This window comes from Homo sapiens, chromosome 19 (genome assembly GCF_000001405.40).
Source record: "Homo sapiens chromosome 19, GRCh38.p14 Primary Assembly".
In the NCBI taxonomy this organism is placed as follows: domain Eukaryota; kingdom Metazoa; phylum Chordata; class Mammalia; order Primates; family Hominidae; genus Homo; species Homo sapiens.
In genome coordinates, this window is record NC_000019.10 from 5,739,740 (window position 1) to 5,760,953 (window position 21,214).

Below are 21,214 nucleotides of genomic sequence, written 5' to 3' on the forward strand. Positions count from 1 at the left end.
TGAGGTGGGAGGGTCACTGGAGTCTGGGAGATTGAGGCTGTGGTGACTATGATCACAGCTCTGCTCTCCAGCTTGAGTGACAGAGCGAGACCTCATCTCAAAAAAAAAAAAAAAGTCCACTGGCTGGGAGGTTAGGGAAAATTCCAGGTCAATGGAGCCAGCTCAGGAGCCTAGGAAGTTAGAGACAAAAAGTTTTAGGTCAGGCAAAATCATGGCACCATTTATGCCATTTAAGTAGTACTTATAAAAAGCTAGTGACAGGCCAGGTGCGGTGCCTCACGCATGTAATCTGAGCACTTTGGGAGGCCGAGGTGGGCAGATCACCTGAGGTTGGGAGTTCAAGACCAGCCTGACTAACATGGAGAAACCCCGTCTCTACTAAAAGTACAAAATGGGCTGGGCGTGGTGGCACATGCTTGTAATCTCAGCTACTCGGGAGGCTGAGGCAGGAGAATCGCTTGAACCCGGGAGGCAGAGGTTGCGGTGAGCCAAGATCACACCATTGCACTCCAGCCTGGGCAACAAGAGCAAAACAGTGTCTCAAAAAAATAAAATAAAATAAAATAAGCTGGGCGCAGTGGCTCACGCCTGTAATTCCAGCAATTTGGGAGGCCGAGGTGGGTGGATCACCTGAGGTCAGGAGTTCGAGACCAGCCTGACCAACATGGAGAAACCCCATCTCTACTAAAAATACAAAATTAGCTGGGCGTGGTGCCTCATGCCTGTAATCCCAGCTACCCGGGAGGCTGAGGCCGGAGAATCACTTGAACCCAGGAGGCGGAGGTTGCAGTGAGCCGAGATCGCACCAGTGCACTCCAGCCTGGGCAACAAGAGCGAAACTCCATCTCAAAATAAATAAATAAAATAAAATACAAAAACTGGCTGGGTGTATTGGCGGACGCCTGTAATCCCAGCTATCGGGAGGCTGAGGCAGGAGAATCGCTTGAACCCGGGAGGCAGAAGTTGCTTGAGCCAAGATTGCGGCACTGCACTCCAGCCTGGGCAACAGAGAAACTCCGTCTCAAAAAAAAAAAAAAAAAAAAAAAAGCTAGCGCCCAGCCGTGTAGGGACATGGTGGCTCACACTTGTAACCCCAGCACTTTGGGAGGCTGAAGCAGGTGGATCGCTTGAGTCCAGTAGTTAAATACCAGCCTGGGCAATACGGGGAAACCCTGTCTCTACCAAAAATATAACAATTAGCCGGGCATGGTGGTGCATGCCTGTAGTCTCAGCTACTTGGGAGGCTGAGGCAGGAGGATTGTTTGAGCCTGGGATGTGGAGGTTGCAGTGAGCTGAGACAACGCCATTGCACTGCAGTCTGGATGACAGAGTGAGACCCTGTCTTAAAAAAAAGAAAAGAAAAGAAAAAAGCTAATGCCCTAGTAAAGGCAACACATTAACTTATGACACACCCACATGCCCACCTGAAGATTGGTACTATCAGGTTCATCATCATGCTCACTTTACAGATGAGAAAACTGTAGCGGGTTGAACCAATGTCCCCCCAAAATTTATGTCAACCTGGAACTTCAGACTCTAACTGTCTTTGGCATTTTTGCTGCTGTAACAAAATATCTGAGACCGAGTAATTTATAAGGAACAGAAGTTTACTTGTCATGGTTCTGGAGGTTGGGAAGTCCAAGATCAAGACGCCAGCAAGGTTGTTTTCTGGTGAAGGCTGCAATCTGCTCCCAAGATGGTGCCTATGTTGGGGGGTCCTCTGGAGGGGCAAGAGCCACGTCCTCACACAGCAGAAGGCAGAAGAACCAACGAACAGTGCTCTCTTCAACGTAGAGCTCTTTTATAAGGATGCTCATCCCAAAGACCATACATTGATAGTACATTGGGGATTTCAGCATGAATTTTGGAGGGGAAACCATCATTCAAACCATAGCAGGAAACTGACTTGGAAGTAGGGCCTTTGCAGATGTAATCAGTTAAGCTAGAATGAGGTCACATTGAAATCAGGTGGCCTTCAAATCAAATGACCGCTGTCCAGGCGCGGTGCCTCAGCCTGTAATCCCAGCACTTTGGGATGCTGAAGGCGGGGGGGGGGGGGTGGTGTGGATCACTTGAGGTCAGGAGTTCAAGACCAGCCAAGCCAACTTGGTGAAACCCCGTCTCTACTGAAAAATGCAAAAATTAGCTGGGTGTGGCGGCTGGCGTGCCTGTAATCCCAGCTACTTGGGAGGCTGAGGCAGGCGAGTCACTTGAACTTGGGAGGTGGAGGAGGTTGCAGTAAGCCCAGATCGTGCCACTGCACTCCAGCCTGGGTGACAGAGTGAAACTCTGTCTCAAGGAAAAAAAAAAAGAACAAACAAAAAAAACAAAAAAGGAAACCTAGCATCACTAAAATTCCCAATTATTACTAAAATAGCGTTTGTGTGTGCGTGTGTGCGCGTGTGTACGTGTGTGAACGTGTGTGTGCGTGTGTGTATGTATGTGAACGTGTGTGCGTGTACATGTGTGCATGTGTGTACATGTGTGTGCGTGTGTGTACGTATGTGAATGTGTGTGGGTGTGCGTGTGCATGTGTGTACGTGTGTGTGCGTGTGTACGTATGTGAATGTGTGTGTGGGTGTGCGTGTGCATGTGTGTACATGTGTGTGTGTGCATGTATGTTTGTGCGTGTGGCAGTGGAATTGTTTTTATCACGGACATTTCAAGAGGAGAGGTTACCGCAGAGAATAGTTGAGCTCTCAGCACTGCTACAGCCAGGACAAGAGTCAGCCCCTATTGCTATCAATTGTATATATTGACGGCTGGGTACAGTGGCTCTCACCTGTAATCCCAGCACTTTGGGAGGCCGAGGAAGGAGGATCACTTGAGCTCAGGAGTTCAAGACCAGCCTGGGGAACATAGTGAGACCCACCCCCCACCATATCTACAAAAAATTGAAAAAGAAATGAGCTGGGAATGGTGGTAGGTACCTGTGGTCCCAGCTACTCAGGGGGCTGGAGGATTGCTTGAGCCTGGGAGACTGACGCTACAGTGGGGTGTGATCGTGCCACTGCACTCTAGCCTGGGGGACGGAGAGATATCCTGTTGCAAAAAAAGAAAAAGAAAAGAAACTGGTTGGAGTGATGGAGCAGGATCTAGAGTCCCTTCCAGGGGCAGATGGATCCCATAATTGCCTAATGGGATAGGTGGAGGGAGGGTCTTGAAGGCAGGTAGAATAATAGACCCCCAAAGGTGTCCACATCCTAATTCCTGGAACCTGTGAATATGGTTCCTGACATGGCAAAAGGAACTTTGCAGGTGGGATTAAATTAAGGATCTTGAGGCTGGGCTCGATGGCTCACGCCTGTAATCCCAGCACTTTGGGAGGACAAGGCAGGTGGATCACGAGGTCAAGAGTTCAAGACCAGCCTGGCCAAGATGGTGAAACCTCATCTCTACTAAAAATACAGAAAATTAGCCAGGTGTGGTGGCAGGCGCCTGTAATCCCAGCTACTCGGGAGGCTGAGGCAGGAGAATCGATTGAACCCAGGAGGCGGAGGTTGCAGTGAGCTGAGATCACACCATTGCACTCCAGCCTGGGCGACAAGAGTGTAACTCTGTCTCAAAAACAAACAAGGCCAGGCACTGTGGCTGATGGCTGTAATCCCAGCACTTTGGGAGGCCGAGGTGGGCGGATCACCTGAGGTCAGGAGTTTGAGACCAGCCTGGCCAACATGGCGAAACCCCGTTTCTACTAAAAAAACAGAAATTAGCCAAATATGGTGGCAGGTGCCTGTAGTCCCAGCTACTTGAGATGGGGAGGCAGGGAGGATTGCTTGAACCCAGGAGACAGAGGTTGCAGTGAGCCGAGGCTGTGCCACTGCACTCCAGCCTGGGCAACAGAGTGAGACTCCATCTCAAAAAAAGAAAAAAAGAAAAAAGATAGCAGTCTTAGTCTCTCTGTCTCTGTCTCTCTCTCTCTCTCTTCCTCTCTCTCTCTCTTCCTCTCTCTCTCTCTCTCTCTCTCTGTCTCTGTCTCTGTCTCTGTCTCTGCAAGATGTGGGAGGTAGCCAGCTGGGCTGCTATGGAAATCTGTCTCACTATCCCTAGGTGGGGCCCTTGATTCCTGTTCCAAGTCAGCTGCTAGACACTTTGCTGTCCAGCTAACAATCAGGAATGAGGACTCCCAGGCAGGAATGAAAGACTCAGGCAGCCTTCTAGCAGTCTGGGTCATATCATTTTCTCCAAACACCCAAACCAAAGCTGTCTTCTTTCAAGTTTTTGCCCCAAGTGTCACATTTCTTTTCTTTTCTTTTTTGAGACAAGGTCTCACTCTGTCACCCATGCTGGAGGGCAGTGGCATGATTGTGGCTCACTGCAACCTCTGCCTCCCGGGTTCAAGTGATTCTCCTGCCTCAGCCTCCTGAGTAGCTGGGATTACAGGCGCCTACCACCACACCCGGCTAATTTTTGTATTTTTAGTAGAGATGGGGTTTCACCATGTTGACCAGGCTGGTCTCGAACTGCTGACCTCAGGTGATCCACCCGCCTCAGCCACCCAAAGTGCTGGGATGACAGGCGTGAACCACCGCACCCAATTGAGTGCCATATTTCCACAGAGGGCATTATTTGTTTTTCTAAAAAAGACTTTCCTTCATTGTAACTTATTAGATAATCTGAAGTTAAACCGACAAACACATGTGTATTAAGATTTATTCATCTGAAGTCTTTTCTGTTTGTTTCATAGGCAGAAATCATTGGGTCTTTAGGCGGAATCTTCCACTTTTTTTCTTTGTCACAGGTTGCGATGCTTGTAGTGAATCAAGGGAAGGTAAGTAACTGCAGAGGGAAGAACTACTCAGAGGACCTTTGCCCAAGCCCAGGTTTTTGTTACAACTCGCACATTTTTAAACATTTATTTATTTATTTAATTTTTTTTTAGACAGAGTCTCGCTCTGTCAGCCAGGCCGGAGTGCAGTGGCGCAATCTCAGCTCACTGCAACCTCCACCTTTCAACTTCAAGCAATTCTCCTGCCTCAGCCTCCCGAGTAGCTGGGACTATGGGCTCGTGCCACCGCGCCTGGCTAATTTTTGTATTTTTAGTAGAGATAGGGTTTCACCATGTTGGCCAGGCTGGTCTCGAACTCCTGAGCTCAAGTGATCCACCCACCTTGGCCTCCCAAAGGCCTGGGATTACAGGTGTAAGCCACGGCGCCCGGCATCGATAATGTATTTTTGTTTAACCATTTTAAAATAGTATCTTTTCTTTTTTTATTTATGTGAGACTGATTCTCACTGTGTCACCCAGGCTGGAGTGCAGTGGTGTAATCTGGGCTCACTGCAACCTCTGCCTCCCGGGCTCAAGTGATTCTTGTGCTTCAGCCTCCTGAATAGCTGGGATTACAGGTGCCTGCCACCATGCCCAGGTAATTTTTGTATTTTCAGTAGTGACAGGGTTTCACCATATTGGCCAGGCTGGTCTCAAACTCCTGACCTCAAGTAACCCCCACCCTCCGCCGCCGCGGCCTCCCCCAGTGCTGAGATTACAGGTGTGAGCCACTGCGCCTGGCCCAATGGTACCATTTCAGTATGTAATCAATATAAACAACTCATGGATGAGATAGTTTACATTTTTCTGTACTACATCTTCAAAATGAGGCCGGGTGCAGTGGCTCACGCCTGTAATCCTAGCACTTTGGAAGTCCGAGGCGGGCAGATCATTTGGGGTCAGGAGTTTGAAACCAGCCTGGCCAAGATGGTGAAACCCCGTCTCTGCTAAAAACACAAAAAAATTAGCCCGGCACGGTGTCAGGCACCTGTAATCACAGCTACTTGGGAGGCTGAGGCAGGAGAATCACTTGGACCTGGGAGATGGAGGTGGCAGTGAGCCGAGATCGTGCCACTGCACTCCAGCCTGGGCAACAGAGCCAGACTCCACCTCAAAAATAAAATAAAATAAAATAAAATAAATCTTCAAAATGCATTGTGCATTTGACACTTAGAGTAATTCTCTATTCAGAACTAAATTTTCAATGGTTAAACTGAAATGTAACCCTAGCAAAACAATAAAGTTGTATTTAATAAAAATAAAAAAAGAAAGGCAGACTTGTGGCTTCTTTGCTTTCTTTGCTTTCCCCTGCACCTGCTAGCCAGACTCCTCTTCCCTCATTAGGACTCAGTGGGACTCCACAGTAGGGTTTGGGGAGAGGCTGAATGGTGTCTTTTTCTCCCAGGGCATGTTCAAGTACTCAGATCACCCCCTCAACCGGAGTTTCGGGCTGTCTTTTGACTATAATGGGACTCTAGACATCCTCATCGCCCCCGGCCAGAGAGGCATCCTGCTCCTATGGTTTGAGAACAGCCTGTTGTTTTCCCATAATGCAGGTGAGCCCAGGGGCCCAGGGTGGGGCTGCCGCCTGGTGGCCTCCTCCAGAGGGGCCGAGTACAGCCTGGATAAGGGGAGGGGAAGGAGCAACCCCTCGACCACTCGGTTATTTTTTCTCTTCCATGTTCAGAGTGGACCACAAGCCCATAATCATTTAGTGGATCTCTCTGCATCCTCCCTAGCTTCCTGGCTTGCAGGATACTTAGGGCCAGGTAGACAGTGACAACTGAAATAAGTGACGGTGACAAGAGTCTCCGTCATGGAGGTTTATTCCGCCAGCTTTAGGTCGCGTCTGGGAAAAACGCCAGTCAGACAACTCTGAGGCTGCTTTTCCAGAGTTCCAGGAGGCTTCGTATTTAACATTTCTTTCTCTTTTTTTTTTGAGACGGAGTCTCACTCTGTCGCCCAGGCTAGAGTGCAGTGGCGCGATCTTGGCCCACTGCAAGCTCCGCCTCCCGGGTTCACACCATTCTCTGGCTTCAGCCTCCCTAGTAGCTGGGACTACAGGCGCCCAGCACCATGCCCGGCTAATTTTTTTTTTTGTATTTTTAGTAGAGACGGGGTTTCACCGTGTTAGCCAGGATGGTCTCCATCTCCTGACCGCGTAATCCACCTGCCTCGGCCTCCCAAAGTGCTGGGATTACAGGCGTGAGCCACCACGCCCAGCCATTTCTTTAACATGTGGGAAGGCTAATGGTTGTATTCCTGGGAGACTTTAGTTCATGCACAGTAAAGTTCCTGTTTTTCTTTTTTTTTTGGAGACAGTGTCTCACTCTGTGGAGGCGGAAGCTGTGCCGAGTCCTGATTGTACTTCTGCACCCAGGCTGGAATGCAGTGGTGCAATCATGGCTCACTGCAGCCTCCACCTTCCCTGGGCTCAAACGATCCTCCCATCTCAGCCTCCCAAGTAGCTGGCTACAGGCATGTGCCACCATGCCTGGCTGATTTTTTTGTATTTTTTGTAGAGACTGGGTCCTCCTGTGTTGCCCAGGCTGGTCTCAAACTCCTGGCTTCAAGCAATCCTCCTGCCTTGGCCTCCCGAAGTCTGGATATTACAGCTCTGAGCCGCTGTACTCAACCTGTTTTATCCTCACAATGGTTTCCCTTTTTTTTTTTTTTTTTTTTTGGGACACAGTTTCACTCTGTCATCGAGACTGGAGTGCAATGGTGCAATCGTGGCTCACTGCAGCCTCCCCACCTCTCAGGCTCAAGTGATCCTCCTGCTTCAGCCTCCCAGTAACTGGGACTACAGGTGCGCCACCATGCATAACTAACTTATTTTTTGTAGAGACGGGGTTTCACCCTGTTGCCCGGGCTGGTCTCAAACTCCTGGGTTCAAGCAATCCTCTGGCCTCAGCCTCCCAAAGTTCTGGGATTACAGATGAGAGCCACCAAACCCGGCCTGTTTTATTCCTTATAGTGGTCACCTGTATTAGAAGACATTCCATTGTGTTCAAGCCCCTGGTTGACAAAAAACTCAATGGCCATCCCTCTGAGCTTGCTTATAGAGAAGATTAACGGGGATCTGGTTTTCTTTTTTCTTTTCTTTTTTTTTTTTTTTTTTTTGAGATGGAGTCTGGCTCTGTCGCCCAGGCTGGAGTACAGTGGCGCAATCTCGGCTCACTGCAACCTCCACCTCTGGGTTCAAGCAATTCTCCTGCCTCAGTCTCCCAAGTAGCTGGGATTACAGGTGCGTGCAACCATGCTCAGTTAATTTTTGTATTTTTAGTAGAGACAAGGTTTTGCCATGTTGGCCAGCCTGATCTCGAACTCCTGACTTCAAGCGATCTGCCCACCTCAGCCTCCCAAAGTACTGGGATTACAGGTGTGCACCCCCGCGCCTGGCAGAAGGGTTAGGTTTTCTTAAACCGAAGCATATTCCTTGTCATGCTTAACAAAATTGTGTTTCAGTGCTGTATTCTCCTTGATTCATTCTCCTTTGAATAGCAAACCTCTCAAAAGCTATAAGGAACATCGAAAGAGCCACTGGCCGGGTGGGTTGGGTGGTGGCAGGGGTGGCTGTGGTCCCAGTAGTAGACATCCCCTTTCCCAGGATGTACACGGGGCCTCATGCACCTGTCCTGTTACCTCCTAGGTCAGCTCGTCGACACCGTCCGGGTGAAAAAAGGAGACCAGACCTTGTTTTCTTCCATTTTTGAAGCCAAGATCACCATCCACAACATTGCTGTCAGTGCGTAGCCGACCCACTGCTAGCCAAGAAATATTTAGACCTGGCTTATTAACCGTAGGCCTGCCAGACCCAACCCAGCCAAAACACGAAATCAGCTGGGCGCGGTGGCTCATGCCTGTAATTCCAGCACTTTGGGAGGCCGAGGCGGGTGGATCACCTGAGGTCAGGAGTTCGAGACCAGCCTGGCCAACATGGTGAAACCCCCTCTCTACTAAAAATACAAAAATAAGCTGGGCGTGGTGGTGGGCGACTATAATCCCAGCTACTCAGGAGGCTGAGGCAGGAGAATCGCTGGAACCCGGGAGGTGGAGTGAGCAGTGAGCAGATCGCACCATGGCACTCCAGCCTGGGCGACACAGTGAGACTCCAAAAAAAAAAAAAAAAAAAGCTTCAACTCTGTATTTTTTTCATATTGCTTGGCATTTCCACATGAATTTTGTGATTATAACCAGAAAATAGCTGTCATATTATTCTTTTTTTTTTTTTTTTTTTTGAGATGGAGTTTCAATCTTGTTACCCAGGCTGGAGTAGTGGCGTGATCTCTGCTCAGTGTAACCTCTGCCTCCTGGGTTAAATGATTCTCCTGCCTCAGCCTCCTGAGTAGCTGGGACTACAGGCGCGCACCACCATGCCCGGCTCATTTTTGTATTTTTAGTAGAAAAAGAGGATTCACCATGTTGGCCAGGCTGGTCTCAAACTCCTGGCCTCAAGTGATCCACCCCCCTCGGCCTCTCAAAGTGTTGGAATTACAGGCGTGAGCCACTGCACCCAACCACACTTATGTTTTTGTCCACAGAAATGACCAGCATTTCAATTTTTGTTTTGTCTTGTTTTGTTTTTCCCAGCTGAAAATGAACTGGCAGTTATAACTCGGGAGGATAATTTGTATTATGGCAATCTGGGCATCGTGCCAAGTTCCATAATCAAAGTAGGTAAAAAGAAAGTGGGGTTATGGGCTGGGCACGGTGGTTCACGCCTGTCATCCCAGCACTTTGGGAGGCTGAGGTGGAAGGATCACCTGAGGTCAGGAGTTCAAGACCAGCCTTGCCAACATGGTGAAACCCTGTCTCTACTAAAAATACAAAAATTAGCCGAGCCTGGTGGTGGGCACCTGTAATTCCAGTTACACGGGAGGCTGAGGCAGGAGAATCGCTTGAGCCTGGAAGGCAGAGTAAGACTCTGTCTCAACAACAACAACGACAACAGAAAGTGGGGTTATGAATTAGTTGGTAAGGAATAATGGTCTTGTTCACAAACTTCTGAACCTTTTTTCGAAGGCTAGAAATCACTCTAGTTAGTAAAACAACAACAACAACAGCAGCTAAAAGGGGAAGAGTATTTAAAATACTATAGGTGCTGGTCTAGGCACCTTCGTGTATTACATTATTTAACCTTGACCATCATCTTAGGAAGCTCCTCATATCGTCCCTATTTGACAGATGGAAAAACTGAGGCACAGAGACCTAAGTCGTCTGTCCAGGCTCAAAGTGGTACTAAGTGGTGGTGCAGGTGTCATCTGACATCCTCTTGTGCATTATGCCTATCTAATTTTTTTTTTTTTTTTTTGAGATGGAGTCTCACTCTGTCGCCTAGCTTGGAATGCCACAGCACAATCTTGGCTCACTACAACCTCCACCTCTCAGGTTCAAGCAATTCTCCTGCCTCAGCCTCCCGAGTAGCTGGGATTACAGGCGCATGCCACCACACCAGGCTAAGTTTTGTAATTTTAGTGGAGTCAGGGTTTCACCATATTGTCCAGGCTGGTCTTCAACTCCTGACCTCAGGTGATCCACCCGCCTAGGCCTCCCAAAGTGCTGGGATTACAGTCGTGAGCCACCGCGCCCGGCCGAAACTCTGTTTCTTAAAAATAATAATAAAACTAACAAAAATTTAAAATAAAAGAATTATTTTGGCCGGGCGTGGTGGCTCACGCCTGTAATCCCAGCACCTTGGGTGGCCAAGGTGGGCGGATCACGAGTTCAGGAGATCGTGACCATCCTGGCTAACACGGTGAAACCCCGTCTCTACTAAAAAAAATACGAAAAAATTAGCCGGGCGTGGTGGCGGCACCTGTAGTCCCAGCTACTCGGGAGGCTGAGGCAGGAGAATGGCGTGAATCCAGGAGGCGGAGCTTGCAGTGAGCAGAGATCAAGCCACTGCACTCTAGCCTGGGTGACTGAGCGAGACTCTGTCTCAAAAAAAAAAAAAAAAAAAAAAAGGAATTATTTTGGCCAGGCACAGTGGCTCCTTCCTGCAATCCCAGCACTTTGGTTCCAGGAGTTCATGACCAGCATGGGCAACATAGTGAGACCCCGTCTCTACTAAAAATATGAAAATTAGCTGGGCATGGTGGTGCATGCCTGTAATCCCAGCTACTCGTGAGGCAGGAGAATGGCTTGAACCCGGGAGACGGAGGTTGCAGTGAGCCGAGATCGTGCCACTGCACTCCAGCCTGGGCGACAGAGTGAGGCTCCATCTCAAAAAAAGAAAAAAATAATAATTACCAAAGGATGAATGAAGCTGAAGAGAAGTTAGATCACAAGTTGTCCTTATGACTGTGTTTCCTCCCTCCCCCAGCCCTCTCTCCCTTCTTTCCTTTCTTCCTTCCTTTCTCTTTCTCTCTTCCTTTCTCTTTTCTTTTTCTTTCTTCCCTCTACCTTCTTTCAATCTGCATCATGGCCGGGCGTGGTGGCTCATGCCTGTAATCCCAGCACTTTTGGGAGGCCGAGGCAGGTGGATCACGAGGTCAGGAGTTCAAGACCAGCCTGATCAACATGGTGAAACTCGTCTCTACTAAAAATACAAAAATTAGCCGGGCATGGTGGTGCGACTGTGATCCCAGTGACTCAGGAGAATCGCTTGAACCCGGGAGGCGGAGGTTGCCGTGGGCTGAGATTGCGCCACTGCACTCCAGCCCAGGCGACAGAACAAGATTCCGTCTCAAAAAAAAAAAAAAAAAAAAAAAAAAAAAAAAAAAAAAAAAAAAAGGCCTGGCGCGGTGGCTCACGCCTGTAATCCCAGCACTTTCAGAGGCCGAGGCGGGCGGATCACGAGGTCAGGAGATCGACACCATCCTGGCTAACACAGTGAAACCCTGTCCCTACTAAAAAATACAAAGAAAAAAAAAATTAGCCGGGTGTGGTGGCTGCGCGTCTGTAGTCCCAGCTACTCGGGAGGCTGAGGCAGGAGAATGGCGTGAACCCGGGAGGCGGAGCTTGCAGTGAACCGAGATGGCGCCACTGCACTCCAGCCTGGGAGACAGAGTGAGACTCCATCAAAAAAAAAAAAAAAAAAAAAAAAAAAAAAAAAAAAATCTGCATCATGAAATAAAATTTAAACCTCCAGAAAAACAATTACAATGATTAGATCTCAGGAATCATTTTCTTCTTAGTTTGCAGACCAATACATCTGGTCAGAAGACGTGGCCCTGATGTTCAGGAGCCCAGGGACTCTGGAAATACTGACCCCACTGCGTGACACAGCCTTTCCAGCTTTTGATTTCCAGAAGTGCCTCGTGAATATCCAGGCGCTTCTCATGGACCCTGAACTCCACGTTGGAAAGTGCAAGGTATGTGATCCTAACTGTTTTGATCAATGTTCAATGTAGTTTTTAAAGACAAATTCAACCTGGGCATGGTGGTGCACGCCTGTAGCCCCAGTTGCTCAGGAGGCTGAGGCTGGAGGGTTGTTTGAGGCCAGGAGTTCAAGACCAGCCTGGGCAACATACACCCATTTCTAAAACAAAAAAAAATTTTTTTTTAAAGCTGGGCGTTGGCCAGGTACGGTGGGAGACTTTGGAGACTGAGTCTTTGGGAGACTGAGGCAGGTGGATCACTTGAGGTCAGGAGTTCCAGACCAGCCTGGCCAACATGGTGACACCCCATCTCTACTAAAAATACGAAAATTAGCTTGGTGTGGTGGCGGGCGCCTGTAATCCCACCTACTTCGAGTGCTGAGGCATGAGAATCTCTTTAACCTGGGAGGCAGAGGTTGCAATGAGCCGAGATCACACCACTGCACTCCAGCCTGGGTGACAGAGCGAGACTTCGTCTCAAATAATAAATAAATAAATAAATAAGTTGGGCATGGTGGTGTGTACTCTCAGTTACTTGGGAGGCTGAGGTGTGGGGATCACTTGAGCCCAGGAGTTCGAGGCTGCAGTGAGCTATGATGGAGTCACTGCACTCCAGCCTGGGTGACAAAATGAGATCCTCGTTTCTAAAACACTAATTTAAAAAAAGAGAAATTAACAAAATAAGAGACAACAAGATAGTATTCGTCACCAATAAGAGATCAATCACATCACCCATTGACCACTGCCAACACGATCAAACTCAATCTCATGAGGCAAGCATCAATCCAGCTGCAAATTTGCCAGAAATACAAAAGACAGAGGAATGGGTTCACCTGCACCAGGGAAATCCAGATTTTGAGAAATGCTGCGGGCCCAACAGCGTGGGGACTTCCAAAATCCATGGAAAGGAAAAGGGGGCCGGGCGTGGTGGCTCATTCCTGTAATCCTAACACTTTGGGAGGCCGAGGCGGGCGGATCACCTGAGGTCAGGGGTTCGAGAGCAGCCTGGCCAACATGGCGAAACCCCGTCTCTACTAAAAATACAAAAATTAGATGGGCGTGCTGGCACATGCTTGTAATCCCAGCTACTCAGGAGGCTGAGGCAGGAGAATCGCTTGAACCTGGGAGGCAGAGGTTGCAGTGAGCCGAAACCAAGCCACTGCACTCCAGCCTGGGTGATGGAGTGAGACTCCATGTCAAAAAAAAAAAAAAAAAGTAGATTTTGTAGAGACAGGAGTCTCCCTGTGTGGTCCAGGTTGGTCTCAAACCCCTGAACTTAAGTGATTCTCTACCCCTCAGGATTACAGGTGTGAGCCACTAAACCCAGCCAACAAACCTGTAGATTGAAAGAGGATTAAAAGACATACCTGTGTTGGGAAACGGGCAAGACTGAGTGATGATCTTCAGATGCATACTAGGGCAGCTCTACTCTAAAGAAACAGAAAGAGGGGGCGGGCGCGGTGGCTCACGCCTGTAATCCCAGCGCTTTGGGAGGCTAAGGTGGGTGGATCACAAGGTCAGGAGATCGAGACCTTCCTGGCTAACAGTGAAACCCCATCTCTACCAAAAATACAAAAAAAAAATTAGCTGGGCGTGGTGGTGGGCGCCTATAGTCTCAGCTACTTGGGAGACTGAGGCAGGAGAATGGCATGAACCCCGGAGGCAGAGCTTGCAGTGAGCCGAGATTACGCCACTGCACCCCAACCTGGGCGACAGAGCCAGACTCTGTCTCAAAAAAAAAAAAAGAAACAGAAAGAGGTCAGGCGCAGTGGCTCACAACTGTAACCTCAAGCACTTTGGGAGGCCGAGATGGGAGGATCACTTGTGCCCAGGAATTTGGGACCAGCGTGGCAACATAGTAAGCCCTTGTCTCTATTAAAAAAAAAAAATTGAATTAGCCGGGCATGGTGGTGCACGCCTGTAGTCCTGGCTACTTGGGAGGCTGAGGGAAGAGGATTGCTTGATCCTGGGAGGTCAAGGCTGCAGTGAGCCATGATCAAACCACTGCACTCCAGCCTGGGCGACAGAGCGAGACCCTGTCTCAAAAAAAAAAGAAAGGAACAGAAAGAAGCAATTACTGCGCATGTCAGGGTTGGGGAATACTTCTGGAGAGGAGGGAGGGGCTGGCATTGTGCCCATCTCGAGACCCTTCTGGAAATACAGAGTCTAGTGGGGAAGACAGAGGCACAAGTGGAGATTCAGGCTGCAGGACCAGGAGGGTCCCTTCCTCCTTCCCACCTCCTTGCCCTTTCTTTATGGGAACAGGAGCATGATTATCTTTCTTCTTCGCCTTTTTAACTAGATAGAGTTTCTGACAGGAGAATTTATATACAGGATGTATACCATTGACATGCACAGCCAGCTGGAATTGACTGCTTCGTTGATACCCCAGCCAGGCACATCCCTGATTCCTCTGGTAAGTACATCTTAATGTTTCTGCTATCTGGGATTCTCAGCCACATGCCTGGTGCCCACTCCCAGATTCTGGAAATCCCCTGGCATCCCCCACAAGGAGAGACGCTACTCGCACACTCACAATTCTGCATAGAAATTGTCTCTGTGTCTTTTTTTTTTTTTTTTTTTTTTTGAGACAGAACCTCGCTCTGTCCATTAGGCTGGAGTGCAGTGGCGTGATCTCGGCTCACTGCAGCCTCCACCTCCTGGGCTCAAGCAATTCTCCTGCCTCAGCCTCCCGAGTAGCTGGGATTACCAGCATGTGCCACCACGCCTGGCTAATTTTGTATTTTTAGTGGAGACGGGGTTCCCCCATGTTGGTCAGGCTGGTCTTGAACTCCTGGTCTCAAGTGATCTGCTCACCTCGGACTCCCAAAATGTTGGGGTTACAGGCATGAGCCACCATGCCCAGCCATTTCTATGTGTCTTCCCCCTCGACGTGCCTCTGCATGTCTGGGCGTGATGAGGCTGTGGCTGTCCAGCTGGCCGCCTGGCCGCCCTTGTGCTGTCTCTGTGCCTCCTCCATCCTTCTGAGCTGCCCATACATTCATTTTCTTCTTCTTCTTTTTTTTTTTTTTTGAGACAGAGTTTTGCTCTGTCGCCCAGGCTGGAGTGCAATGGCACGATCTCGGCTCACTGTAACCTCTGCCTCCCGGGTTCAAGCCATTCTCCTGCCTCAGCCTCCCAAGTAGCTGGGATTACAGGTGCCTGCCATCATGCCTGGCTAAGTTTTGTATTTTTAGTAAGATGGGGTTTTGCCATGTTGGTCAGACTGGTCTTGAACTCCTGACCTCAGGTGATCCACCCACCTCGGACTCCCAAAGTGCTGGGATTACAGGCGTGAGCCACCATGCTGGCCTCATTTTCTTAACTCAGCCTGAGTTGGCTTCTCTTGCTAGCAGCTAAGAGCCCTGACCCCTATGGCCTTCCCCCACCCAGCAGGAAGTGTTTGGATGTTTCTCGATCCAAAATCCAAGTGTCTAAGCCTAGGCATTAGCTGCAAGTACAGATGGTCCCACAATTTTTTGACTTTACAATGGCACAAAACCGATTATACTCAGACTATTGAGTATTATACTCAATATATTATACTCAAAATATTGAGTATACAAAAACTATTATACTCAATAGAAACTGTATTTCCAGTACTGATACAGCCTTTCTGTTTTTCACTATTAGTATAGTATTCAATAAATTACATGAGGGCCGGGCGCGGTGGCTCCCGCCCGTAATTTCAGTACTTCAGGAGGCTGAGGTGGGAAGATCGCTTGAACCCAGGAGCTCGAGACTAGCCTGGGCAACATAGTGAGACTCCATCTGTACAAAAAACATAAAAATTATTAGCCGGGTGTGGTGGCGCATGCCTGTAATCCCAGCTACTGGAGAGGCTGAGGCAGGAGAATCTCTTGAACCCAGGAGGCGGAGGTTGCGGTGAGCCAAGATCGTGCCATTGCACTCCAGCCTGGGCAACAAGAGCGAGACTCTGTCTCAATAAATAAATAAATAAATAAATAAAAATAAATTAAAAAAATAAAAATTAGCCAGGTGTAGTGGCATGCACCTGTAGTCCCAGCTACTTGGGGCTAAGGCAGGAGGCTGAGGCAGGAGGATCACTTGAGCCCAGGAGGTTGAGGCTGCAGTGAGCTATACTCATGCCATTGCACTCCAGCCTGGGTAACAGAGTAAAACCTCATCTCTTAAAAAATAAAAAAATTGTCCAGGCGCGGTGGCTCACGCCTGTAATCCCAGCACTTTGGGAGGCCAAGGCGGGCAGATTGCCTGAGGCCAGGAGTTCAAGATCAGCCTGGCCAACATAGTGAAACCCCATTTCTACTAAAAATACAAAAATTAGCCGGGTGTGGTGGCACATGCCTGTAATCCCCGCTACTCAGGAGGCTGACGTGGGAGAATCACTTGAATCTGGGAGGTGGAGGTTGCAGTGAGCTGAGACCATGCCACTGCACTCTAGCCTGGGTGACAGAGTGAGACTCCCTCTCAAAGAAAAAAAAAAATTAAATAAATAAATAAAAATAAAAAATTTAAAAGTAGGTAAATTATTGCTTCATGAGGACAGAGTTTCCATTTGGGACTATGCGAAAGTTTTGGAAACAGATGGCAGTGATGGTTGCACGATATTGTGAATCTACCGAAAGCCACTGAATTATACACTAAAGGTGGGTAAATTCATCCACATGTATTATCTATTTGTACAAACATTCAGGAAAGCTGGACCCCTGAAATGTCAACATCGTGATCCAAGGGGTGGAAGGGCGAGTGGGTTTTGTTCTCCTTTTAGTATTGCTTGGTTTATTCTCAATTTAAAGTAGGCTGGGCTAACTTCCAATGCTTGGTAGGTTAGGTATATTAAATGCATTTTCAGGCCAGGCACGGTGGCTCACACCTGTAATCCCAGCACTTTGGGAGGCCGAGGTGGGGGGATTGCCTAAGCTCGGGAGTTTGAGACCAGCCTGTGCAACATGGTGAAACCTCGTCTCTACTAAAAACACAAAAATTAGCTGGGTGTGGTAGCGTGCTTGGAATCCCAGCTACTCGGGAGGCTGACACATGAGAATCGCTTGAACCCAGGAGGCAGAGGTTGCAGTGAGCCAAGATCTCACCACTGCACTGCAGCCTGGGTGACAGAGCAAGACTCTGCCTCCAAAAAAAATAAAAATAAATAAATAGGCCAGGTGCGGTGGCTCACGCCTGTAATCCCAGCACTTTAGGAGGCCGACACAGGCATATCATATGAAGTCAGGAGTTCCAGACCAGCCTGGCCAATATGGTGAAACCCCATCTCTGCTAAAAATACAAAAATTAGCTGGGTGTGTTGGCGCATGCCTGTAATCCCAACTACTTGGGAGGCTGAAGTAAGAGAATCACTGGAACCCAGGAGGCAGAGGTTGCAGTGAGCTGAGTTTGCAGGACTGCACTCCAGCCTGGGTGACAGAGTGAGACTCCATCTCAAAAATAAAGAAAGAAAGAAAATAATAAATAAATGCATTTTCAACTTCTTTTTTTTTTTTTTTTTGAGACGGAATCTTGCTCTTGTTACCCAGGCGGGAGTACAATGGCGTGATCTCAGCTCACCGCAACTTTTGCCTCCTGGGTTCAAGCGATTCTCTTGCCTCGGGCTCCCGAGTAGCTGGGATTACAGGCATGCACCACCATGCCTGGCTAATTTTGTATTTTTAGTAGAGATGGGGTTTCTCCATGTTGGTCAGGCTGGTCTCAAACTCCCGACCTCAGGTGATCCACCTGCCTCGGCCTCCCAAAGTGCTGGAAGTACAGGCGTGAGCCACCGCGCCTGGCCAAATTTTTTTTTTTTTTTTTTTTTTGTAGAGACAGGATCTCTCTGTGTTGCCCAGGCTCGTCTTGAACTCCTGGGCTCAAGCAGTCTTCTCACCTTGGTCTCCCAAAGTGCTGGGATTACAGATATGAGCCACTACACCCAGCCCTGATTTTTCATTTGAAGGTGTGCTGGGCTCACTGTGGGGGTTTGTCACCCCGTCCTGCCTGCTGGCTCCGTACAGCCTGAGCTTCTCTCCCCCACTCCCAGGTGATGGTGAGCAACCCCCACTCCCTGGGGTTCCAGGCCACCTTCTACGAGAACGGTTACACATCAGATGGGAACACCAAGTACAAACTGGTGAGCCGCGTCCCCACCAAACCCTGTCGCCTGTCCCTTGAGAGGCCCCCTCTTCCTCCTTCCCTTATCAGCATAAAAATTTAGGAGTTTCCAGGGTACATAGCCCGTGGCCGTGCCCCGCGGTGGGAAGATGATCAGGCAGCCGTCAACCACACGCTTGACCTCATTAAAGTGTCACACGGGAGAGACCCGGATGGCATGACAGGGAGGAGCCTAACCCAGCCCGGGGAGGGTAGCCGGAGATCTGAGTTAGTTGGGTAAACTGAGGCATGAGGATTGCGTGGGGGCAGTTTCCACAGGGCAGGGGCCTGACCAGGTGCAAGTTGGTGACAGCAAACTCCTTTAACCAGGCTCGTCACATCACATCCAGGTGAGTGAGAAAACAGTCACTCCTCACTGTGGGTCCCCAGAACTCAGGGAGCAAGGGAATAGGAGCCATCATATTGGGGCCGTTGTTTCTGTGAGCTTCCAGAAGCCTTTCACAGGCGGTGGGACTAGAACAGAGCAGGGCTTGGCTGGGCGCAGTGGCTCACGCCTGGAATCCCAGCACTTTGAGAGGCCAAGGTGGGTGGATCACTTGAGGTCAGGAGTTTGAGACCAGCCTGGCCAACATGGTGAAACCCCGTCTCTACTAAAAATACAAAAAAAAAAAAAAAAAAAATTAGCCGGGTGTGGTGGCGGGCACCTGTAGTCCCAGCTACTCGGGAGGCTGAGGCAGGAGAATGGCGTGAACCCAGGAGGCAGAGCTGGCAGTGAGCCGAGATCGTGTCACTGCACTCCAGCCTGGGCGACAGAGCGAGACTCAGTCTTAAAAAAAAAAGAGAAGAAAAAAAAGGCAAACATTAGCCAGGCATGGTAACGCTCACCTGTAGTTCCAGCTACTTGGGAGGATGAGGCAGGAGAATCACTTGAACCAGGGAGGTGGAGGTTGCAGTGAGCCAAGATCGTGCTAATGCACTCCAGCCTGGGCAACAGAGAGAGACTCCATCTCAAAAAAAAAAAAAAAAAAAAAAAGGAACAGAGTGGGGCTAAGCGGCTTCCAGGTTCGTCCCCCCATGTCCCCTCCAACACCCCATCTCTCCCAATGTCCTGAGTTGGGGATGCCCATGGTGTTCCACGGATACACTTGGGATTTTCTCTCTTGACCCCACAGGATATTTTCCTAAAACAGCAGCAGCACTGGGGCAGGACCGACTCCAACTTCACTTCCAGGTATGTTGTCTCCTGGGAGAGGCGGGGACTGGGCTGCCTACAGGGGTTTCCTTAGCAGGAGCGAAGAGAAGCAGGTCTGAGATCAGACCCCCAGCTCCAGAACAGTAAAACAAGGCGATTACAACACTTTACAAGAGCTGGGCGCGGTGGCTCACGCCTGCAATCCCAGTACTTTGGGAGGCAGAGGTGGGTGGATCACCTGAGGTCAGGAGTTCGAAACCAGCCTAGCCAACACGGTGAAACCCCGTCTCTACTAAAAAATAAAAAAAAATTAGCTAGGCGTAGTGGCAGGCACCTGTAATTTCAGCTACTCGGGAGGCTGAGGCAGGAGAATTGCTTGAATCCAGGAGGCAGAGGGTGCAGTGAGCCGAGATCGTGCCATTGCACTGTAGCCTGGGCGACAAACATGAAACTCCAGCTCCAAAAAAAAAAAAAAAAAAAGCAAAAATAAGCCAAGTGTAGTGGCGGGCGCCTATAATCCCAGCTACTCAGGGAGATATTTGCACACCTGTGCTCACAGCAGCGTGATTCACAACAGTCAAAAGGCAAAAATCAACCCACCGGTCCATCACCAGATGAAAGGATGAACACAGCGTGGTCCATCCGCACATCGCAATATGACTCAGACTTAAGAAGGAAGGGAGTCCCGGGCCGGGCGCGGTGGCTCACACCTGTAATCCCAGCACTCTGGGAGGTCAAGGCGGGCAGATCACCTGAGGTCAGGAGTTCGAGACCAGCCTGGCCAACATGGTGAAACCCCCATCTCTACTAAAAATACAAAAATTAGCCGGGCATGGTGGTATGCGCCTGTAATCCCAGGTATTCAGGAGGCTTTGGCAGAATTGCTTGAACCCAGGAGGTGGAGCTTGCAGTGAGCCGAGATTGTGGCACTGCACTCCAGCCTGGGTGACAGAGTGAGACTCCATCTCAAAAAAAAAAAAAAAAAAAAAAAAGGCCGGGGGCTGTGGCCCACAACACTTTGGGAGGCTGAGGCAGGTGGAATCCCAACACTGTGGGAGGCTGAGGCGGACAGCTCACAAGGTCAAGAGATCGAGACCAGCCTGGCCAACATGGTGAAACTCTGTCTCTACTAAAAATACAAAAATTAGCCAGGCATGGTGACAGGCGCCTGTAGTCTCAGCTACTCGGGAGGCTGAGGCAGGAGAATCGCTTGAACCCGGGAGGCAGAGGTTTCAGTGAGCCGAGATTGCGCCACTGAACTCCATGCTAGGTGATAGAGCAAAACTCGTTCTCAAAAAAAAAAAAAAGTAAGGGAATCCTGACGCAAGATACAGGCTAGATTGGATGCACCTTGAGGACAACATGCTCAGTGCAATAAGCCGGATACAAAAGGACAAATCCTGTGTGATTCCACTCCTAGGAGGACCCTAGAGTGGTCTGAGTCACAGAGACAGGAAGTAGGATGGGGGGTGCCAGGGGCTGGGGAGGGGGATGGGGAGTGAGTGTTTCATGAGGACCAAGTTTCAGTTGGGGAAGATGAGAAACTTCTGGAGATGGATGGTGGTGATGGTTGCACAACTCTGTGAATGTAGTTAATATTGATGAATGGTGCACTTAAAATGGTTAAGATGGAAAATTTGGGGCCCGGTGTGACGGCTCACGCCTATAATCACAGCAACTCAGGAGATCCATAGCAACTCAGGAGACTGAGGCAGGAGGATTGCTTGAGCTCAGGAGTTTCAGGTTGTAGTAAGTTATGGGCATGACAATGTACTCCAGCCTGGGCAATAGAGCAAGACCCTGACCCTGGGCGACAGAGCGAGACCCCCATCTCAAAAAAAAAAAAAA

The 21,214-nt window shown here is 49.3% G+C and overlaps 1 protein-coding gene across 13 annotated transcripts in view; it reads left to right on the top strand.

The window, feature by feature from the left end:
• Positions 1-21,214, top strand: part of CATSPERD (catsper channel auxiliary subunit delta) — a 58,098-nt gene that overhangs the window by 19,103 nt on the left and 17,781 nt on the right. For 8 of the 13 annotated variants that reach the window (XM_011527885.4, NM_152784.4, XM_011527887.4 and 5 more), the window contains 8 exons: positions 4,688-4,771; positions 6,174-6,324; positions 8,421-8,516; positions 9,362-9,444; positions 11,908-12,084; positions 14,393-14,506; positions 18,104-18,193; positions 19,347-19,405. In XM_011527885.4, coding sequence (XP_011526187.1) covers positions 4,688-4,771; positions 6,174-6,324; positions 8,421-8,516; positions 9,362-9,444; positions 11,908-12,084; positions 14,393-14,506; positions 18,104-18,193; positions 19,347-19,405 — 854 coding nt within the window. Of the gene's footprint in view, positions 1-4,687; positions 4,772-6,173; positions 6,325-7,537; positions 7,578-8,420; positions 8,517-9,361; positions 9,445-11,907; positions 12,085-14,392; positions 14,507-18,103; positions 18,194-19,346; positions 19,406-21,214 lie in introns of those variants that run through there. The other 5 variants (XM_011527886.4, XM_017026564.3, XM_011527891.1 and 2 more) reach the window with 5 other exon arrangements.